The sequence below is a fragment of the Homo sapiens genome, chromosome 4 (assembly GCF_000001405.40).
Source record: "Homo sapiens chromosome 4, GRCh38.p14 Primary Assembly".
Taxonomy (NCBI): Eukaryota; Metazoa; Chordata; class Mammalia; order Primates; family Hominidae; genus Homo; species Homo sapiens.
This window is the reverse complement of record NC_000004.12, coordinates 173,438,270-173,460,335: the sequence shown is the minus strand read 5'-3', so window position 1 is coordinate 173,460,335 and position 22,066 is coordinate 173,438,270. Positions and strand designations below refer to the sequence as shown.

Here is a 22,066-nt window from a genome sequence, read left to right as displayed (position 1 = left end):
GCCCCAGCTGGTGTCTCAGTATGTCGCATGCCCCATGAGTCCACCATCTCTGAGCTTAGTTCGACACTAGGACTCACTGCTGCCTGGGGTGGGGCAGGGGTGGCGTCTTGGCAATTCAGTGGCGATTCAGGACTGTTTTTTGTATCTCTTCAGTGCCTCTTTCAGTGATATGAAGTTAAAACCAGGTACTTATGAGTGCTCACCTGAGTTTTGGTTCTTACGAAGGTATTTTTTTCTATATAGATAGTTCTTAACTTGGTGTCCTTGCAGGGCGGTGGCGGGGCAGCGGGGACGGGACGACAGGTGGAGCCTTCTATTCCGCCATCTTGCCCCACCTCCATATGTGATATTTTGATACATGAATATAATGTGTAATGATCAAATCAGAGTAATTAGCATATCAGTCTCCTCACACATGTATTTTTTTTTTGTGTTGGAAACGTTTCAAATCTTCTGGCTATTACAATAAATTATTGTAAACTATAGTTACCCTGTTGTGCTGTCAAACACCAGAACTTATTTCTTCCACCTAACTGTACTTTCGTACCCATTAACCAACCTCTTTACAACCTCCTAACCCCCTTCCCAGCCTCTGGTAATCATCATCCTACTTTCTACCTCCCTGAGATAAACTTTTCTTAGCTCCTACATTAGGTTGTTTATTTGAAATCTCCTTACTTTTATAAAGTAGGTGTTTATTTCTATAAACTTCCTTCTTAGATTGGCTGTAGCTGTAACTCATAAATTCGGATATGTTGCGTTTTTATTTTCTTCTGTTTCAAGAAACTTTTAAATTTTCTTCTTAATTTCTTTGTTGACCCATTGTTTACTCAGGAGCATGTTGTTAAGTTTTCATGTATTCAAGAGTTTCAAGAGTTCCTCTTGTTAGTGATTTTTAGTTTTATTCCATTGTGCTCAGAAAAGATACTTGATATGATTTTAATTATTTTAAATACATTAAGACTTGTTTTGTGGCCTAAGATATGGTCTATCCTGGAGAATGTTTCATGTGCTGATGAAAAGAATGTGCATTCTGCAGCTGTTGGATGAAGTGTTCTGTAAATGCCTGTTGGGTCCATTTGAAATACAACTGAAATACAATGTTGCCTTGTTGATTTTCTTTCTAGATGATCAGTGCGATTCTGAGAGTGAGGTGCTGAAGTTCCTAACTATTATTGTATTGGAGTCTATATCTCCCTTTAGATCTAACAATAATTGCTTTATGTATCTGGGTGTTCCTGTGTTGGGTGCATATTTATTTACAGTTGTATATCCTTTTGCTGAAGGATCCTTTTGAACCTTTTATCATTACATAGTAACTTTTGTCTCTTTTAACAGTTTTTGACTTAAAGTCTATTTCATGTGATGTTAAGTACAGTTACTCCTGCTTATTTTTTGTTTCTGTCTGTGCAGAATCTTTTCCATCCGTTCACTTTTGGTCTATGTATGTCTTTATAAGTGAAGTGAGTTTCTTGTGGGCAGTACATAGGTGGGTCATGTTTTTTTTTCTCTTAATCCTTTCAGCCAGTCTGTATCTTTTAAGTGGGGAATTTAAGCTGTTTATGTTCAAGGTATTATTGATAGGTAATGAGTTACTCCTCTTAATTTTTTAATTGTTTTCTGGTTATTTTATGTATCCTTTGTTGCTTTCTTCCTCTCTTACTATTTATCATCGTGATGTGATGGTTTTCAGTAGTGATAAGTTTTCATTCTTTTCTCTTTCGCCTTTGTGTATATGCTTTACCAGCGAGTTTAATACTTTTGTGTGTTTTCATGATGGTGATTATTGTCTTTTCACTTCCAGATGTAGAACTCCTTTGAGCATTTCCTGTAAGGCCAGTCTAGTGGTGACACATTCCTTCAGCTTTTGCTTGTTTGGAAGAAAGTAATAATATTTTAGACATGTTGGGTTAAATAAAATATAATATTAAAATTAACTTCATCTGTTTTTTTTTAATTATTTTTGATGTGGTTACTAGAACATTCAAAATTACATATGTAACTTGCATTATATTTCTGTAGAGCAAGTGCAGGACCAAACAATTAGTCACTATTAATCTGATTTTTTCTTTCACTGACTGGGCTAATTTTTATGCTCTTAAATTCCCCTCAGACCTTATCAGGATGGCTAGACTCACCCTGTTTTACCTCAGGCCCCTATGGCCCTATGCGTGAGCACTCAACTTCTGAGTTTGGATCATTTCAGCCAGTCCTGGGTACCCTGAGGGCAGTTAGGGATCTAGAGTTTCCCATCCTCCTTTCAGGGGAACTCAGAGGGCATTCCATTCATAGCCCACCAAAGCCCTGTCTCTGAGAGTGCTCTCATGCCTGCCAGGTGCCTGTAGAATCCAGAGAGACCCACAGTTCTTCCTGTAGTTGAAGACAGACAGAACTTTTATCAATAGAAAGCTCTCAGGGAACAAGAAAACAGTATGACTCCTTCAGGGAGCTAATGGAGAGGATGCTGGGGTGGGGTGCAGGGACTGGGGAAAAGGGACAGCAGGACACCACTACAGGATGAGCAGCACCTATGAATCAAGCTCTCCAGGTAGTATAGGTATAAGTGTCACACACTCCTTAGCTAGCAATAAGATTAGGGCTACCTTCTTTAAGCATGCAGAAATGCCTAAAGTATTAAAAATGTCAAGGTCCCATAGATAAAACCTAAGTTAAAAGTAGCGTAACAAAAGAATTTCTAGTCACCAGTTTCAAGGCAATCTCACAGTCACCAAGTGCCAGCCTTGCTAGCCCACATCTGCGGGGACAGACACCTCTCGGGAAAGAGAGTGGGAGATTGTCTGCACAACAGCCAGGCTGCAGGGATCAATTATGTTTTTAATTGATAAAGATGGTTACTCAATTCTTTGATGTTATATGGAAAACAGAGACAAAAAAAGCTTTTCTTTTTAGAACAACAAAGAAACACCAGGAATTGGCTCTATTCCAGAATCTTCTGAAATGTGAGAATATCCTCTTTTTCCTTACTTCTGAGTGTCATCAACATTAGCAACACCCTAACAGAACACCATTTATTGTGTGCCTTTCTGTCTTCAGAATTTGTTGAGTTTTCCCACAAGATTCCTAAATACTTCATTCCTCAGTGGTTGTGCAGGGCATGACCGTGCTTTGTGGAAAAGTCCCCTCTGCCCTGGTACACTTTCCTCTGCAGATGTTTTGTTAAGCGCCATGGGTCATGAAGGAGCTCAGGCCACCCTGGCCTTCAGCATATTTTGATGCTAGTTTGGGTGGCAAGGAAACAAATACATTTGCTCCTAATTCTCTTTTATCTCTTTCTGGCCTCTGATGTAGAGAAAGAGTAAAGAATCTCTCTGAGCCCTTTCACAGCTCCTCTGAGATGCAAAGTCAACTGTTGACCATAAAGCAAGCAAGTACAGTAAACCAGTCTCTAGGCTGAGAATCCCTAAGAGTCAGGGACCCTGATACCTGCTCCTCTCATCTCCTCTACCCTGATGAAGCAGAAAGAAGGGAAGTTATCTTCTAGGACACCAAGCAAAAACCTTTCAATCCTATCTCTTTGGAGCAGAGCAACTTTTCCTACTCTTTCTACTTTTTTTTTGTCAATCCTTAGAGCTGTTTTCTCTAATTTCTACCTAATTTTTGTACATATTCTCAGTAGTTCAATATACATAGATTTGCCTTACCAGTGCTGGATATACAGCATTTCTACCTGTGACCTCTGTGATTTTCAACAGGAGATGTTTTCAAATAAGTGTGCATTACATAACAAAAAGTTTGAGGTTTAAAAAATGATAAAGGAACCCAAAATGTTAATTATAGCAGCATTTGTATGTGTATGCACGTGTGTGTTATAGGTGATGACAGACAACCAAATGAAATGCTAAAAATGGAAAAGACAACTTCCTAGGAGAAAGCTTGGGGTGTCGTATGATTTTCTAATACCAAATCAGAACTTCAGATTCATTGACACAAAATCAGCTCACATAATTATCTACAACTGAATGTTAAGATATACTTTGGCATGTTTCCTGTTCACTAAAAAGAAACTTATTACCATACAGATTTTAATTCAGTATATATTTTCAATCAAAGTTGTAGGGGTTTCACAAGGACACTCTACTTAAGATTCGAATTCTGTGTACATAGAATCACAGAGTCCTAGGGTTGAAAATTAAAGTCACTTAATTCCATGATCAGCTGCTCGAGTCCTATTGCAATATTCTTTCAATGTGGTTGTGATGTCAAGGCTTGAATGTCTCAAATGACAGAGAAGTCAATATCTCCTAAGCCACCTGTTCCATTCTTGAAAAGTGCTATTAGACCGGGTTCCCCTTGACCCCCTCTCTGTTATAAATCTGTTTTTCGTGGTTTCCATCCTTTATTGTTGATTTCTGCCTACCATGCTCCTGGGGAAATCTTCCTCTTGACAACCCTCAAAATATTTGAGGGCAACTAGCATGGCCTCCCAGGTCTTTCCACATGCATCCTATTCCTTCGACTGCTCCCAAGGTGACGTGGCTTGGGTCACCTTACTAACCTATTCTGAATGCATCTCTCCTCTGTACACTTGAAAAATATATATTCCTTTTTAAGCTTGGTATCCACAATGAAAGACAATGCTTTGGGCGCGGTCATTTTCCATTAGTACACTGGCACTTTGACTGCTTTTTTCACATGTGACAGATGATTCCTTTTCTTGACATGAGCCTGCGATATTCACTCCACTTCTCCCTGAAGGCTTACACTGGCTGCTATGCAAACTTCCAGGCTCACTTTCAGGGAAGTGTCTAATGATGGGTCTGAGTAAGGCCATGGGGGAAATTGCTCCTTCACCAAGTGCTGTGGTTCCCAACTTGTGGCTGACACACCATAGGCAGCCAAAGGCCAGGGGACTTCCCATTAAAAAGACTACCAACTGCGATGCCCCTTCACTGCTGGAACCTTGGGGTTCTTGACATCAAAAAACACCACCAGCGTTCTCATTAAGTGTTGTTTAGTCCCCGCTGGAAAGCACACTACAGGTATATGTTCTGTGACAAGTGTAATGTGTTTATGAGTATGTGCATAATGAATTATTGGAAATAGCTGTGTTTTAATACCCCCTTAATATATAAAGTTTGACTCCTGCCAGTCTTGGGTCTGTTAAAAATATTTAGGGGTTTGCTTACATGGTGGTCTGCCAAAGCCTTCGATTGTGATCTAGTGGCCTCACCGTAGAATCGCTGAGGACCCAGGATTGTGGGAGGCCCCCAGAGGGTGATGCAAGCCTGGGGAACATTTAAGGTGTCACTTCATTCATTTTTGGAGAGGCAGGTGTGAGACTTGCCCGCATTTCTTACAACCAAGGAGCCAAGATTATTACATAAGAATCATAAGAAACCACTATAGAACACAGAATTCCAATCTCCAGTTAAGGTTAAGGAAATAGCTATTTAGCACTTACTTTATCAAGGGCTCCTCTGTTTAAGCCATTTGGTTGTTAGTACCCTACGTCTTCTTGAGGATGTGTCCTTTAAACTAACTTTCTCACATTGAACCTGGTACTGTAACTGGTCTTCTATGTGCAATAGGTGTCACGTCTATCAGTCTGCCCCACACCAAATCTCTCCCTTATCCTGCCAGAAGGGTATGCCCATGAGCTTCTCTAGACCTGACCCCTAACACCTTCAGGGAAGTGCCTGATCCCAAAATGTATGGCAGAAACCAGCTCTAAACACATGTGGATGACACCCTCTTGGATGAGAAAGGTTATGAAGTGCCACATAAGGTAATAGACTTATTAATGATACTATAAATCAATCCTCAAACATACAAAATTATCTACCAAGTTTGCCTTGGTACTCTTTAGTGAAGAAAATAAAATTGAGTAAATACAGGTATATATCCCATGTGGAAAAAATTCAGGTATTCCACACTTCATGCTCAGACCCCTGCAATACCTTCCCTTCGTCTCCTTGCCTTGCCCCTAACCTCCCCGACTCTGGCCCATCCTCCTCTGTGTTGCTGGTTAGCACTGTTACTATTCCTCCTCATTACAGTGGGAAAGTTTCTCCAGGCCTTCCAGAAACCAATCCTAACCTCCCTCAGCTTTCCTACGTGAACTTTCCCTTCCACCAAACTTGTCTTTTGTAGGTTTTCAACTGCATTGCCTGTCTTCACACCTACTTGAATAAGTAAAAGCGATCTCCACCTTCCCTGGCCCAGTTTCTCCCTTCCCTGGCCCAGCTGCCTTCCTAGATCGCACAGCCTCCAGTGGTCAGTTCTTTTTTTTTTTTTTTTTAGACGGAGTCTCGTTCTGTCACGCAGGCCAGAGTGCAGTGGCACGATCTCGGCTCAGTGCAACCTCCACCTCCCGGGTTCAAGCGATTCTCCTGCCTCAGCCTCCCGAGTAGCTGGGACTACAAGCACATGCCACCATGCCTGGCTAATTTTTTGTATTTTTAGTACAGATGGGGTTTCATCATGTTGGCCAGGCTGGTCTCGAACTCCTGACATCCAGTGATCCACCCGCCTCAGCTTCCCAAAGTGCTGGGTTTACAGGCATGAGCCACCACACCCAGCTGCTCACTTCTTACTCAGAAGGTGAATGTTTGTCATATTTAGTGTTTCTGGTACTTGTGTAGCACGTGGCATACATAGTTATGCACCGTATAATGATGTTTTAGTCAACGACAGACCGCATATATGACAGTGGTCTCATAAGATTATCACACCATATTTTTTAATGTACCTTTTCTATGTATAGATATGTTCAGATAGACAAATATTTACCATTGTGTTGCAGTTGCCTGGAGTATTCAGCACAGTGACATGTTGTACAGGTTTGTAGCCTAGGAGCAATAGGCTATACCATATAGCCTAGGTGTGTAGTAGGCTCTACCGTCTAGGTTTGTGTAAGTACATTCTATGATGTTCGCACAATGACACAATCACCTAATGATGCATTTGTCACAACATCTCTGTTATTAAGTGATGCATGATTCTACTGCCTTATATCTGCTGGAGACAGTTGTCCGGAGGTTTCCATGTCTCTGCATCTCTTGCCAGCAGGGATACTGACTGCGTTTATTCTGAACTATGATTACAAGGATGTTTATACAGGGGATAGCCTTAAAATATGAAAACGAAGTCTGTCTCTGGAGAAAAGGGCAGGTATGCCTGCTGCCCATTAAGACATGGGTTCCTTAAGTGCCAGGTTTCTCTCCTATAATGCAACTTACGTCATGTGCTGGTGTCAAATGTCATCTGTGTCACCTGGTGGGAATTGGGGCCTGGGGAAGTCACAAGAAAAAGCTGGTACTGTGACTATTGCTATGGCTATAATAAAGGCATTTATGTGTGACCCAGGAGTCCTGTGTCTTCTGCCAGCATCCATGACACTCTAGGGTAAAAATCTCAGACCTTTCACAGTTCTTGACATTATCTTTCCATGGGAGCTTCAGCTCCTCTAAATGAGAAAGCCAGAGATTAGAGATAGAAATCTGTATTGTATTTCTTAACATCTCTGATATTTTTCCCTATATATTCTAAGTACACAAGAAGTTTTGTTAATGATACAAATGATATTGAAAATAAGACAAAATCATCATAGCAAAAAACTCTCTAGTTTGACTCAGTTTCAGTCCATACTCATCCTTTCTGCTCTGCATGGCCCCGGATTTTGAGCAGCAGGGTCTTTAAAAAAAATACATGTGTGCAAGAGGGAATAGGAAAGAATGAATATGAGGAGCACAGGGAACAAAATCCAGGAAATGGGTTTGAGAGCCAAACTGTGACAAGGATGCCTAATTGCCTCTAAATATTAATTCTGCATTTTTCCGTTTGTAAAAAGAATGCTGATTTTTTAAAATCTGAGAACATTGCGGCTAGCTAAAATAATACAGTTGGCCCTTGAACAACCCAAGTTTGAACTGCATGGGTCCACTTGTATGTGGATTTTCTTCTGCCTCTGCCACCCCTGAAACAGTAAGACCAACCCCTCCCATCCTCCTCTTGCTTTTGCTCTTCCTCAGCCCACTCAACATGAAAATAAAGAGGATGAAGACCTCTCTGATGATCCACCTCCATTCAATGAATAGTAAATATATTTTCCTTATGATTTTCTTTTTTTTTTTCTTCTTTGAGATGAAGTCTCACTCTGTCACTCAGGCTGGAGTGCAGTGGTGCAATCTCAGTTCACTGCAACCGCTGCCTCCTGGGTTCAATCAATTCTCCCGCCTCAGCCTCTTGAGTAGCTGAGTCTTGAGGCCCCATTGTGTCTCATGTCATGAAGATGGTGACAATCAACACTTAGAAATTCAATGGAAAAGGAAGGAAACTACATGGGATAACCTATTGGGCATACATTAATTTTAGAGGGATGGCATCCTTAAAATCAGTAAACTCTTGGATGCCTATCAACCCAAACTTATTAAGATCTTCTTGCAAGAGCTACCTCAGAGACTATTTCCTTCTGACCTCTTGTTCAACACACATAGTGGAGGTTAAGGGTATTACTTCGACTCAACAAACCAAACAAGCAAATTTTGCATGATTCCTTCAAAAAAAGCCAATGGACAGAGGTAGTATTTAAAAGCACAAGAGTCTCTTGAACATGGAAGGCAGAGATTACAGTGAGCTGAGATCGTGCCACTGCACTCCAGCCTGGGTGACAAAGCGAGACTCTGTCTCAAAATAAATAAATAAATAAATAAATAAATAAATAAATAAATAAATAAATAAAATAAGTAAGTAAAATAAAATAAAATAAAATAAAATGGTACCACTGTAGCAATACTACTCTTTACTATTTTAGTAGGCCATTAGAGATAGAGTTGAGGCCCATTCTTTAGTTAATGGTCTCTTGAACTTCATGAGGAGAACGTGCTATCTTCTTGGTATAGTCAGAACTTTTGAGAATAACCCTAAAGCTCTGTGACAGAATAGGAGGAATAAAATTCAGGCAGCTTTCTGAATGGAGCTAACTTGCGGAGCTGCTCACCTCAGCAGATAGGTCTCAGTTTCAATTTCAGCTTTGCTTCTTAGCTCTTAGGTGCTCCTGGTTCAATAACTAAACTTCAGTTTCCTTATCTATATTATGGGAATAACAAAGCATTCCTCATACTAGATGCTGGCTTACCCTTATTCCTTTTCCTCTTAGCTCTTCTCAAAAAAACAGGATAACTAGGAGATCAGAGGCTGTTGATATATACACTGGATCTTAAGGAATCTCTGCCTGACTTCTAGTGTCCTTGGAGGACCAAAGAGAGCTTAAAGCTGATTCAGAGACATTCCTTGGAGAAACGACTTCAAAAATTATGTCAGATAGGACTATACTGGATAACCTCAAACCAAAGAGAGGCAAAATTGTGATGTGGACAAAGTACGTCTTTAGCTCCTCCCCCTTCCTACTTTCAGGTCCCCCTTCTCTCTCCTGGTTGGGTGTTCTTTCTTGGACACCAAGTATCCCTTTGCTGCTCGTGGATGCCCTGGGTCAGGCCTTTCCCCTCTGGGGAGGCCCAGTGACCCAGACTGGGTCTCGCTTCTCATCCCTCTTATGTCTCAGCTAACCTCATCACAGCTTTGTTATGCGTGGAACTACTCTTAGTTGAGGGTCTTCTCAAAGAAGAGCTGATAAGGCAATTTACTCAAAGGTTAAATCGCTAATAAGGCTTTTTGGGTTTCCCTATCTGAGAGTCTGAGAGAATCTGCAGTTCCTCCTGCAGGAGGTTTTAAGACTAAGGGACCGTCAAGGAGCCCTTTTAATAGCCTTCATAATCCCCATCCTGAACCCACAGGTAAAAGCCAAAGAGGCAAAGTAACCAACTGCTAGCAGTGCTTGCTATCAGCATGAGATCCCAATGCTGCCCATGCTCTCAACTAATCACTGCCCAATATGAGTCATCTGAGCCACTAGCACAGAAAGGCTCTCTAAGATATTTGCAGTGGCTCAGGAACGCCCAGGATCAGGCTCCAGAGATGAGCTTTTGGGGACTTTCAGCTTTAAAAAAAATATCTGGAGTACAGGCTTGATATGATTTGGCTCTGTGTCCCCACCCAAATCTCATCTGGAATTGTAATGTCAAAGGAAAGACCTGGTGGGAGATGATTGGATCATGGGGGCGGTTTCCCTCATGGTTTACTCATGATAGTGAGCAAGTTCTCATGAGATCTGATGGTTTTATAAGTGGCAATTTCCCCTGTGCTTGCTTTCTTCCCTGCCACCTGGTGAAGAGTTGCCTGCTTCCCCTTCACTTTTCACCATGACTGTAAGTTTCCTGAGGCCTCCCCAGCTATGCAGAACTGTGAGTCAATTAAACCTCTTTCCTTTATAAATCACCCAGTTTTAGGTATGTCTTTATACCAGTGTGAAAACAGTCTAATACCAGCCTGATATGGAAACAATTTTTTAATCAGTTTAAACAGTTGTTTTTCCTCAACAAACTGTATAATGTCAGACTATTCCACCTACAGGAGAGGCATATCTCAGCTCCTCTGCTTTTCCTATTCCTATTCCTGGGTCAGGCAAAACTGAGAAGGGGCGTGCAGGAGGAATTATCTCAGCACCTAAGATGTTTCCAGTTGAGAACACTCAAAAATGTCAAATGGCAGAATAAAATCACCAGTGAATGAAGCTATTGAGAAATACTGCCCACCTCAACATAATTCTCACAGAAGTCACAGCATGGGAAGGAACTGTGGCATGTGCCTGGCTTGCTTTGGCATGGGGGATAGTAAGCAGATCAGGTAGGAGGTGTAATCTTCATAATAGTTCAGGAGAGAGACATTCTAGCTATTCAAGCCACGTTTTTGGAATGCAAGAGCCAAGAGGCCAGTGCCAGAGCAGCAGGTTCTGCTGCAGACAGACACGATGACTTTGTGACAAGGCCAGCTATGCCCTGGGAGACCAGGAGATACAAACCAAAAAAAAAAAAAAAAAAAAGATTTATCATGTATGCTCTGCAGAAAGCCCTTATCATCTGTCACATTCGGGTATTTTCAGCCACACTTACATACAGGGATAGCCAGAGTGTCAACAGTATCATCCTTGACTACAAAGGATGACAGTGACAAATCTCAGGGTCCTTTGAATTTGAAGATAACATTGTTCACTACTGTGAATGCCAGACTTTTATTGTCAACAGAGCTTCTCAAGTTATTTATGCCTGCAACAACTTGTATTAGATCACCCACCTCTTTCAGCTGCTTCCCTGAGATGTGTTATAGTGAAAGTGAGAGTGTTGTCAGCAGTAACACGTCCTACATTGCCTAAACGACCACTGAAATTGGAGTTCCCAAATGTACACTGGAGACCTCTCACTCTGTTAGCCTCTCCACTTCAGCCTGTCTCTGTGATTCCCTTGGGAACTTAGCAACATCGCAAAATGCTATCTCATTCTTTATTCTGGAAACTGAAAATCTTCCAAAAGAATACTTTCTGAGACTCTTTAAATGCATGGTCCTAAACCATTCCTGTAGAGATTTTGGAAGAACCTGTACAAGGAGGCTATTGTATGCATGTACAAATAAATGACACAACTCAATGGTTTAATACTATCTGCCAAGTTAAACTACTGCAGAGCAGCTGTGCATATTTAAAAAGATGCCTGGCACAACTAGCGATCCATAAATCATCAGCTGCATACTTTCATCCAATTAAGAGAGTTAAGTAAGAAAAAATCCACAAATTAAGATGTGTGTAAGGACATGGATGACATCATCATTCCTCTCTGAATGCAAAAATAAATAAAAATAAAAATAAATCCTCATTTTGCTGATGTTAAGGCTAGAGTTACTTTTCTAGGGACACAACTTTTCCGGTATTTCAAATCCCAGTGTAAAACCTTGTTCACAGAAGGGTCATTTCAGGCTTGTCGGTTCTCTTTCTGTAAGTACTAGAGCAAAACAGAAGTAATGACTTAAACTGAAAAGCAATCCTTCTTCAACAAGAGCGGATGGGTAAGCCAGGATCCTAAGGCTTTCGTGGGGCAATGATAGCCATGTCATAGGGTTGGAGCACTGTCTCTCTGCAGTGAATCCCTTTGTTCTGGTTTGTTTGTCTGTAGCACAAAGATGCTCAAGAGCATGGCAGATGGCCAGGCCAGCAGATGCCTCATTCCAACTCCAGTTGGCCTTGAGTTTATAGACTTGGCTACAGAAGCCAGAGCAAAATAAAATGAAAAGAAGTTGCATTATTATAAGTTGGGTCACTGTAGGATAAGGTGACCCCCCATCCTGATGGGTTTTTTTGGTTTGTTTGGTTGGTTGGTTTTTGAGACAGAGTTTCCCTCTTGTTGCCCAGGCTGGAGTGCAGTGGCACGATCTTGGCTCACAGGAACCTCTGCCTCCCTGGTTCAAGTGATTCTCCTGCCTCAGTCTCCCAAGTAGATGGGATTACAGATGCATGCCACCATGCCCAGCTAATTTTGTATTTTTAGTAGAGACAGAGTTTTACCATATTGTCCAGGCTGGTCTCTAACTCCTGACCTCAGGTGATTCGCCTGCCTCGGCCTCCCAAAGTGCTAGGATTACAGAGATTAACACAAATAACTACAAAAGTTCTTATCCTCCTGACAACTGTCATGCTTTGGTACACAGCAGAAGTACTTTATATGTGCTTCTCATTTTGTGTCACAGAATATTAAAAACATGTACACTGTGCTTACTTCAGCAGCACTTATACTAAAATTGGAAACTAAAAGTGAGCCACCATGCCCGGCCAGATCCTGATTGTCTTGTTCAGATAATTGAAGCTATTCTTCTTTGATATGCACAACAATTTGAAATGTGGTAGTTTGTTAAGCCTTATTTACAATGTGATATCTGAAAACTAATCAGTGAATTTTGCGTTCCTGTTTCATTAAAATCCATGGATCCATCTTGCACAAATGTTGACATATTACAATCACAATCATTAATAACAATACCACTGATCTCATCCAAAATGTCTCTAAGTATTGGGAAGCTGCGATGGACTGAATGTTTGTGTCTTCCTGAAATTTACATGTTCAAATCCTAATCCCAGTGTGATGGTATTTGGAGGTGGGGTCTTTGGGAGATAGTTAGGATATGAGGTGGAACGCTCATAAATGGGATTAGTGGCATTATGGGAAGAGACCAGAAAGCTAGCTAGCCCTCTTTTCACCATGTGAGGACACAGCAAGAAGATGGCTGTCTATAAATCAGGAAAAGAACTCTCATCAAAAACCCTGCCATGCTAACACCCTGATCGTGGACTTCCAGCCTCCAGCACTGTGAGAAATAAATGTTTGTTGTTAAGCCACCTGACCTATGGCAATTTGTTATGGCAGCCTGAACTGCCTAAGACAGAAGCTATGAAGCTCACAGTGGCAGATAAAAATTTTCTAAAATTCATATTTTCACTTGTAAACTCAAGATTTTATCACTGGCAACATTCCTTGAAGTGACTGTCTCACATGGTTCATTTTAGAGAAAATATCTGCCAAAATTCAATCCAAATTAACCATAGTCCGTCAGTCATTCTTTCAAGTAAAGATGGCAGTCTATGAAAAAAATGAGGCTTGTTAAGCTCATAACACAAATAATTACAAAAGTTCTTATCCATCTAACAACTGTCTTGCTTTGGTGCATAGCAGAAGTACTTTATATGTGCTTCTCATTTTGTGTCACAGAATATTAAAAACATGTACACTGTGCTTGCTTCAGCAGCACTTATACTAAAATTGGAATGACGCAGACAAGCAGGCCCCCTGCACAAAGATGATATGCAAATTTGTGCAGAGTTCTATATTTTGCTTTCCTTTTCTAATGTTTATGGGTATGGAAACTGAGTGAGGTAACTTGACTAACTGAGAAACCTTCTGGCTTCAAATCCTACCCCCAACTCCTCCTCCAAAACCAAAACATATATATATTTAAAGTTGAGATTTAATAATAGTAATAATTTTATTGATTCTTTCAAGACCATTCTTCATTAAAATTGGCTTTTCCCCCCGTGAGTGCATGACATCAAAGAATACAATGACTATTAGTAGAGTTAGGTGTCATTGCCTTGTTTCATGCTAAAGTGCCAGCAGTTTTAACCAGCATTGCTTTTGCACCATCAAAATGCAAACATCAACCAAATGAAAAAGGCAAATATATATTATTACAAAAATGGTTTTGACCTTATAGACCCTCTGAAACTTAATGCTTATGTTGGAAGCAGGGTCATCATAAAGAAAATAAATGAATATTAGCATCCTCAGGGGCACAAAAGGGAAACCATTATCTTATAATTCTGTATCATTTGATCCTTTATGATTTTTGTAGTTTTAAAAAAATGAACAAATAAATATACCTGGAAGTGTCTTCATTAAAAAGTGGGAGGGGGACTGAATGATGTCTCAAGAACTTATCGTGTGAACCCAAATCTCCTTAAAAGTCTCCTTAAAGGCCAGGTGCAGTGGCTCATGCCTGTAATCCCAGCGCTTTGAGAGGCCGAAGTGGGTGGATCACAAGGTCAGGAGTTCGAGACCAGCCTGGCCAACATGGTGAAACCTCGTCTCTACTAAAAATACAAAAATTAACCAGGCATGGTGGCGTGCACCTGTAGTCCCAGCTACTCAGGAGGCTGAGACAGGAGAATCGCTTGAACCCAGGAAGTGGAGGTTGCAGTGAGCCGAGATCCCGCCACTGCACTCCGGCCTAGAAGACAGAGCAAGACTCCATCTCAAAAAAAAAAAAAATATCCTTAAAGAGTCTTGTGAAAATGTCCCCTAAAATCCTAATGGATTCAGTGACTTGCATGAGTATTTTCTTTTCTTTTTTTTTTCCGAGACGGAGTCTTACTCTGTCACCCAGGCTGGAGTGCAGTGGCACGATATCGGCTCACCACAACCTCCACCTCCCGGGTTCAAGCGATTCTCCTGCCTCAGCCTCCCAAGTAGCTGGGATTACAGGCGCCTGCCACCACACCCAGCTAATTTTTGTATATTTAGTAGAGGCGGGGGTTTCACCATTTGGGCCAGGCTGGTCTTGAACTCCTGACCTTGTGATCCACCTGCCTCAGCCTCACAAAATGCTGGGATTACAGGCATGAGCCATCGCGCCCGGCCTTGCATGAGTATTTTCTATATTTTCTGTGGTAAAACAATGTAGAAATTATGAAGATGTAAGATAAGAACTTCATATAATATACATATACATATTAATTTCAGTTTGGAGTAGCTAATTATATTGCTCTAATTCATCAATTTCTATGTACTATAAAAACTTTATATAAATGTAGCTGATTTGACATGGCTTTTTTTATCATTTCTGTTAAAAGTTGGGCACTGTATTCTTTATCAGAAATGTAATTCAAAGCATATTACTTTGCCCCATAGAGAAGCCAAACTCAACTTATATCATTTTGGTATCATTTTAACATCTTCTTTCAGGAATACAATAGTATCAATTATTACGCTTTCTTGGAAGGAAAAAAAAGACTAAATGATTTACACAGAAGGACATTTATTAATTTCCATAGCTTGGAGACCAGGACAGAGTGGGCTCCAGGTCATGTAGGTCAGGGTCTCTCTCTTCTCGGAGATTCTCTCAGCCTGTTGTCTGCCTCAGGTAGGTGGCAAAATGCCTGCTCCCACCACAACAAGATCCAGAGAAAAACAAGGGAGAGGCTCTAACTGCATCTCTTTAGAATTAAGGAAACCTTTCCTAGAGGTCCCCACTAGATTTCCTTCATGTTTCCTTGACCAAGATTGGGTCACATGCACGTGCCATTTTGACCAAGTCACTGTTGAGGGAAATAGTATGACCAGCAGAAATCAGAAACCAGAAATCAGAAAACTACAACCAAAGGCCAAAGCCGGCCCACAGCCTATTGTTGTAAATAAAGTTTTATTGTAACACAGCCATACCCATTCATTTATATATTGTCTGTGGCTGCTTTCTCATGCAACTGCACAGTACAATGGTTGTAACAGAGATCATGTGCCTGCAAAGCCTAAATATGCACTATGTCCTTTATGGAAAATGTTTGCTGACCATTGGTGTACAGAATTACATTCAGGGAAGAATAGATGATGACAAGTCAACCACAATGACTACTACAAGATAGAGTGGTTCTAAAAAAAGCAAGCTCTTGGCCAGGCGCAGAGGCTCATGCCTGTAATCCCAGCACTTTGGGAGGCCGAGGCGGGTGAATCACCCGAGGTCAGGAGTTTCAGACCAGCCTGGCCAACATGGTGAAATCTCATCTCTACTAAAAATACAAAAATTAGCCAGGCGTGGTGGCGGGCACCTGTAATCCCAGCTACTTCAGAGGCTGAGACAGTAGAATCTCTTGAAACTGGAAGGCAGAGTTCGCAGTGAGCCGAGATCACACCATTGCACTCCAGCCTGGGTGACGAGAGTAAAACTCCATCTCAAACACACACACACACACACACACACACACACACACACACACACACAAAACAAGCTCTTTGCCCTTGAAATGTTAAGATAAAGCTAACAGTATATATGACACGGTCCTGAACATATAAACTATGTGGCAAAGATTGCAAGTGCCATAAAAATGCAGAAGAATCCAAGTATAGTGACGCAAGCCTATAGTCCCAGGTATTCAGAAGGCTGAGGTGGAGGACTGTTTGAGCTCAGGAGTTCAAGAGCAACCGAGAAACATAACAAGACCCCTTCTCTTAAAAAGAAAAGAATTCAGAACAGAAAGTGATCAATAAAGGCAAGGCAAAAATATTTTCAGTTCAAGACCAGCCTGGACAACATAGCAAGACCCCTTCTCTTAAAGAAAAAAATTCCAAAGAAAAGTGATCAATAAAGGCAAAGCGATAATATTTTCAAAGTATACAAATTCTCCCCCAAAATGTTTCATGAGACACCTATACAGAATGCTGGTCTGTTTTGACTTAGCTTCCTTGTGTTTTAGTGTTTTCTATTGACAGGCAGGTGAGCAACATGCCAAGGGGTTGTTTGGCATCTTTCTGTTCATGGACACTATTACAGTATTACAGGCCCTGTTTTCCCCCAGGCTTTCTTATGTCTTCTTTAACCTTAATCATTGCATAATACAAGGGCTCATTCTAGATAAAAATGTACAAATTTTATCTTTGTTGTCCAGCTTTGTTGATACAAGTCTCTCATCATTTCCTTTCTATTCTGTGATATTTTTCTCTCCTTTCCACCTATTAGAATGTCTTACATGGATCTCATAAGATCTGAAAAGCATTCATGGTAGAAGGTAAAACTAGAAGCCTCACTCCAGTCAGGAGGATATGCATTAAAGAGAATAGAAAATCCTCGAGTTAACTAGAAAGGAATCTGTGTCTACTTGTTATCCTCAAAACTACCACTTTTAGGTACTTTCCTAACCTCATACTTCAAATGTGCACTATTATGCCCCCAAGCATTGCACTGAAAGATAAGTACTGAATGGGGCTATGCTTTGAATGTCCCCTCTAAAACTCATGTTGAAATTTAATTGCCTGTGTAATGGATTGGGAGATGGGGCCCTTAAGAGGTGATTAGGTTGTGAGGACCCTGACCTCATGAGTAGATTAATGCCAGTGTGTTAATTACCTCAGGGGTGGGCTCCTGATCAAAGGATAAAGTTCAGACCCCATTTCTCTTTGTCCCACGTCCTCACTTGCCCTTCCACGATGATATGACACAGCAAGAAGGCCCTCACCAGATGCGGCCCTTTGATATTGGATTTTCCAGCCTCTAGAACTGCGAGCCAAGTAAACTTCTGTTCTTTACAAATTACTCAGTCTGTGGTGTTCTATTATAGCATCAGAAAACAGACTAAGACAAATGGATAGAAAAACATGGAGACATGCTCTTCAAATTCCTATCCCATCTGCTCTACAGGACTCCTCAGAACACTAAGTTTGAACGTTAGGTGATGACTCCAGATATCTCGTGAGTTCCATGAGATGAGAACTAGACAGGGAGCAGCTGAAGTCGTTTGAAGAAAAGAGAAAGGTCCTGCATCATCTGTTCCGTCACATGATCCCGAATGTATTTGCCCCAGCAGTGACTCTCACTCAAGCCATTAGCAGGAAGCTCTAAGAGGCACATCAGAGACATGGTTGCTCCTAGGAAGTTGCACGTCTTCACTCTAAACCTAAAATATAGATGAGGATCTTCTTTCTAGCAGAAATAAGGCAAGGCAGCAGAGATCCCAACAAGATTAAATATTAAATTTCAAAGCTGAGAATGAATCAAAGGCCTGAAAAATAAGTACATTTTAGAGATCTAGGCAGGCAAGTTCCCAGAGTGCAGCTGTCAGGGAATTTAAGATCCGAAATATTTCTTCCTGCCCGATAATGTTTAAACCTTTTTATTCAATTCAGTAACTATTTCTTGAGTAATTATTGTGAGCCAAAAGTTGAACTTTGTGTGGGATAGAGCCATAAACAAGGTCAACATCGTCTCCTTTGCTATGGATTTTACGGTCTATCATGTATATTACTTGTTTTGCTTTCCCTTATTAGACCGCAGACTTTATTTTTTAAATTGAGAGACAGGGTCTTGCTGTATTGCTCAGGCTGGAGTGCAGTGGCATGATCATAGCTCACTGCAGCCTTGAACTCCTGGTTGGGCTCAAGTGATCCTCCTGCTTCAGCCTTCCAAAGCATTGGGATCACAGGTGTGAGCCACTGCACCCAGCCTAGACTACAGACTTTTTGAGGACAAGACTTATATTGTATTCATCTTCTTAATTGCCTCACATCTAGCACAGTGGTTTACACATAGTTAATACTCAACAAAGTTTATGGAATTAATGAATGACTTGACTGAATAAATGAAGTTAGTTCTGATCCTAATACAGTGATCCTTTATACTTTTTATGAGCAAAAGTAGTCCCAGACCCAAAATTAGAGAAAAATAAGAGGTCTACAGGTGTTCCATGTTCACAGTTAGAATCAGGACAGAGGGGGTGGGATTACAGAGAGACTTTGGCACCAGGAAGTGTTAATGCGATATATATTTAGCACATGGATTCTAAATATTTCACAGCTGAGACTACAGTAGGATCGCCTGGATTAGAGCCGTGACGGAGACTTTGCCACAGGAAAAAGACAAAGTAAATGTTTGAGACTGAACCTACTGTTAACTAAAATAAGTGACACAATAAAATTTTGTGTGTAGAAGGTGTTTTTAGCCTCCTTTACATGTATCACACATGTTTGGGTGATGAACCATCTTATTTCTCTTTTAACTTTCATTTACCCTTCAGGATACAGCTCAGCTTCTTTTCTAGGAAACATCCTTTGATCATCTTTCTGACTTGCCCTCATCTGAACTCAATGCCCTATACTGCTTTGAATAGTCCCCCCACCCACCCCCAAATTAATGTCTACCGGGAAACTGTGGAGGTGACCTTATTTGGAAATGAGTACTTTCAGACCGAATCAAGTTAAGATTAGATCATACTGGATTAGGGTGGGTACCAAATTCAGTACGACTGGTGTCCTTCTAAGGAAGGGGAAATTTGGACACACACAGAAGAGAAAGCCATATGAAGATGAAGGTAGAGATTGGAGTGATGCATCTACAGGCCAAAGAATGCCAGAGATTCTCAGCAGCTACCAGAGGCTAGAAGATGGAGGAAGGATGCTTCCTTAGAGATTTCAGGGGAAAGGTGGCCCTGTTGACACCTTGATTTTGAACTTCCAGTCTCCAGAACTATGAGAGCATACATTTCTGCTACTTGGTTTGTAGTGATGTGATACAGCAGCCCTAGGAAATGAGTAGAGAGCCCTCTCCTCTTACATCCACCTATGCCCAACACTGCCACACCATATTGGATATGTCTTTTCGTGTATATGTCTCCGTTCCCAGATTATGACTTCTTGGAGAGAAAAGCATAGCTTACTAATTTCTGTGTCCTCAGCACCTAACACACTATCTGTCAAAATAAATGTTATTAAAGTAAACCAATCAAGCCAGGACTGGCAATTCCAAATGTCCAACAAAATTCAAATTTGCCATGCCTGCCAAAATTTCAAATTCCCACTAACCCATGTCAAAGCCGTGCCCATTCCCCTAGAATTAGCCTACATATTCCATGGTGAGGAGTAGGAGAGAAGTAACAAAATATGGAAAAGCAAATTTATTACTACTTTGTAAAGCCTTTAGTAAATGAAAAACCTTTCAATCCACACAGATTCTGTAGAGAGCAAAAGTTAGAAATGAAATTCTTTACGGTAAACATACTGCTAACCACTCCCCTAAGCAGTTGTGTGTGAAAAACAAACAAAAAGAAACCTGTAGCGCTTCTCATTTGCCAGGCAGTGAAAATAGAGAGAAACTGAGTTTGCTTAAATACACCATAAAACTAATTTTGACAGAAATATCACCATATTTTTGCAGAAATACAGCTGACATGTCAGAAAGACTTCTCTGAAGCTTCACCTAGAGATGTTCACAAGTTGACTAGTTGGATTTAGAGCTGCAAAAGAAATACCCCTATTACAACCTAAGAGGAAAATAATTTCCATGAAGACAGTGTGACGTGTCCTTGTTCAAAACAAAGAAGGAAGAATCATTAAGCACATCATTCCCTCAAGTCCCTCAAGTATCTGGCAGGAACATCTAATTGGTTGAGTCAGGCCACATGCCCGTGCTTTTGCCAGAGAGAAGGGACAAGAATTATCTATCCACCTTTACCTATCGTGGTAAGAGGGGAGGACATGTCTCCATGTATTTGCCCCAAATAAGAAAACTTTTATATATCTAAATATAGTTTTCTGTATTTTTGCAATTACATATTTATAATAATTTTTGAAATTATATAATAATGTATATTTTTATATATTTGTATTGTATATGATACATATATGTGTATAATGCATGTATATTAAAAAATCTTTTTTTTTTTTAAACAGGGTCTCTCTCTGTTGCCCAGGCTGGAGTGCAGTGGTACAATCAAGGCTCACTGCAGCCTTGACCTCTCAGGCCCAAGTGATCTCCTCCCAAGTAGCTGGGACCACAGGTGTCCTCCACTGTAATTGACTAGTTTTTTAAAATTTGTAGAGACAGAGTCTGCCTATGATGGCCAGGCTCATCTCAAACCCCTGGACTCAACTGATCCTTCCACAGCGGCATCCCAAAGTGCTGGGATTATAGGCCCAAAAATCTTTAACACACAAAAAAGTTTATTCTTGGATCATTTAAATGGGTATTCCTGACTCGTTGGAAGTGTTCTTTCAAGCAGTAATGTTTTGGGACCCAGGTTCCTTCCATCTTGTGACTCTGCCATTTTCAACTGTTTCCAAGGGGCCTGAACTTATTTGCATTAAACTGGAAGAAGAGGAAAGAAAGCACGTGGATAATCACTCCTGGGAGGCTCATAAGAGGACAGCCCCAGAAGTGTATACATCACATCTGCACACATTCCATGCACCAGGACTCAGTCTCATGGCCACTTCTAATTGGAACCGTTCCTTGGAAACCATGTAGGTGTCCAGGAAGAAGAGGAACCCAGTTTGGTGAACAGCCAACACGGTCTCTGTTTTATTATCTACGATAATTATTGTCCACTACAACATCTCAATTTTTTATGAAGTCTTAAATAGAAAGAAGTGAAATATCATGATCAAGCTTTGCAAGAATTAGGTAAATCTATTAAGTCCCAAAAGCAATAGTTGAAAGAAAAAAAAAACTGAATTAAAAAAAAGATTTATTGAAAAATGTGAACTTTGATAAAAACAGGGCCTGCAAATATTTAGAATCCCATCAAACATTTCGATGGTATTTTTCTAACTTTCTTCTCAATGTTTGTTATTAAGAAACTCATGATTAATATATTAGTCATTGATTGATCAATATGTTGCTCAGAGTTCATTATTTTATCAAAAAATCTCATTTCCAATCAAAGTTTAAAATTTAAAATAATATAAATATAACAGATGACAGCAATTTTAATTGAGATTTAGTTGAAACTGCAGGCTCCCTTATAAAAAGCTTAGTTGGTCAGACAGAGTGGCTTACGCCTGTTATCCCAGCAATTTGGGAGGCTGAGGTGGGCAGATAGCTTGAGCCCGGGATTTCGAGACCAGCCTGAGCAACATGGAGAAAGCCCATCTCTACAAAAAAATACAAAAAAAAAAATTAGCTGGGCATG

General features: G+C 40.6%; 1 protein-coding gene and 1 pseudogene across 2 annotated transcripts in view, besides 1 other annotated feature; both read left to right on the top strand.

The window, feature by feature from the left end:
• SCRG1 (stimulator of chondrogenesis 1) overlaps nt 1-22,066 on the top strand; it is a 134,444-nt gene that overhangs the window by 58,809 nt on the left and 53,569 nt on the right. The gene's annotated exons all lie outside the window — the stretch shown is intronic.
• Nucleotides 8,919-14,015: an enhancer, noted in NCBI's record as "VISTA enhancer hs2501". NCBI's record gives its function as "enhancer in: heart[6/6]" and the evidence as "EXISTENCE:transgenic organism evidence [ECO:0001131][PMID:17130149]".
• Nucleotides 13,632-13,733, top strand: RNU6-1096P (RNA, U6 small nuclear 1096, pseudogene; annotated as a pseudogene).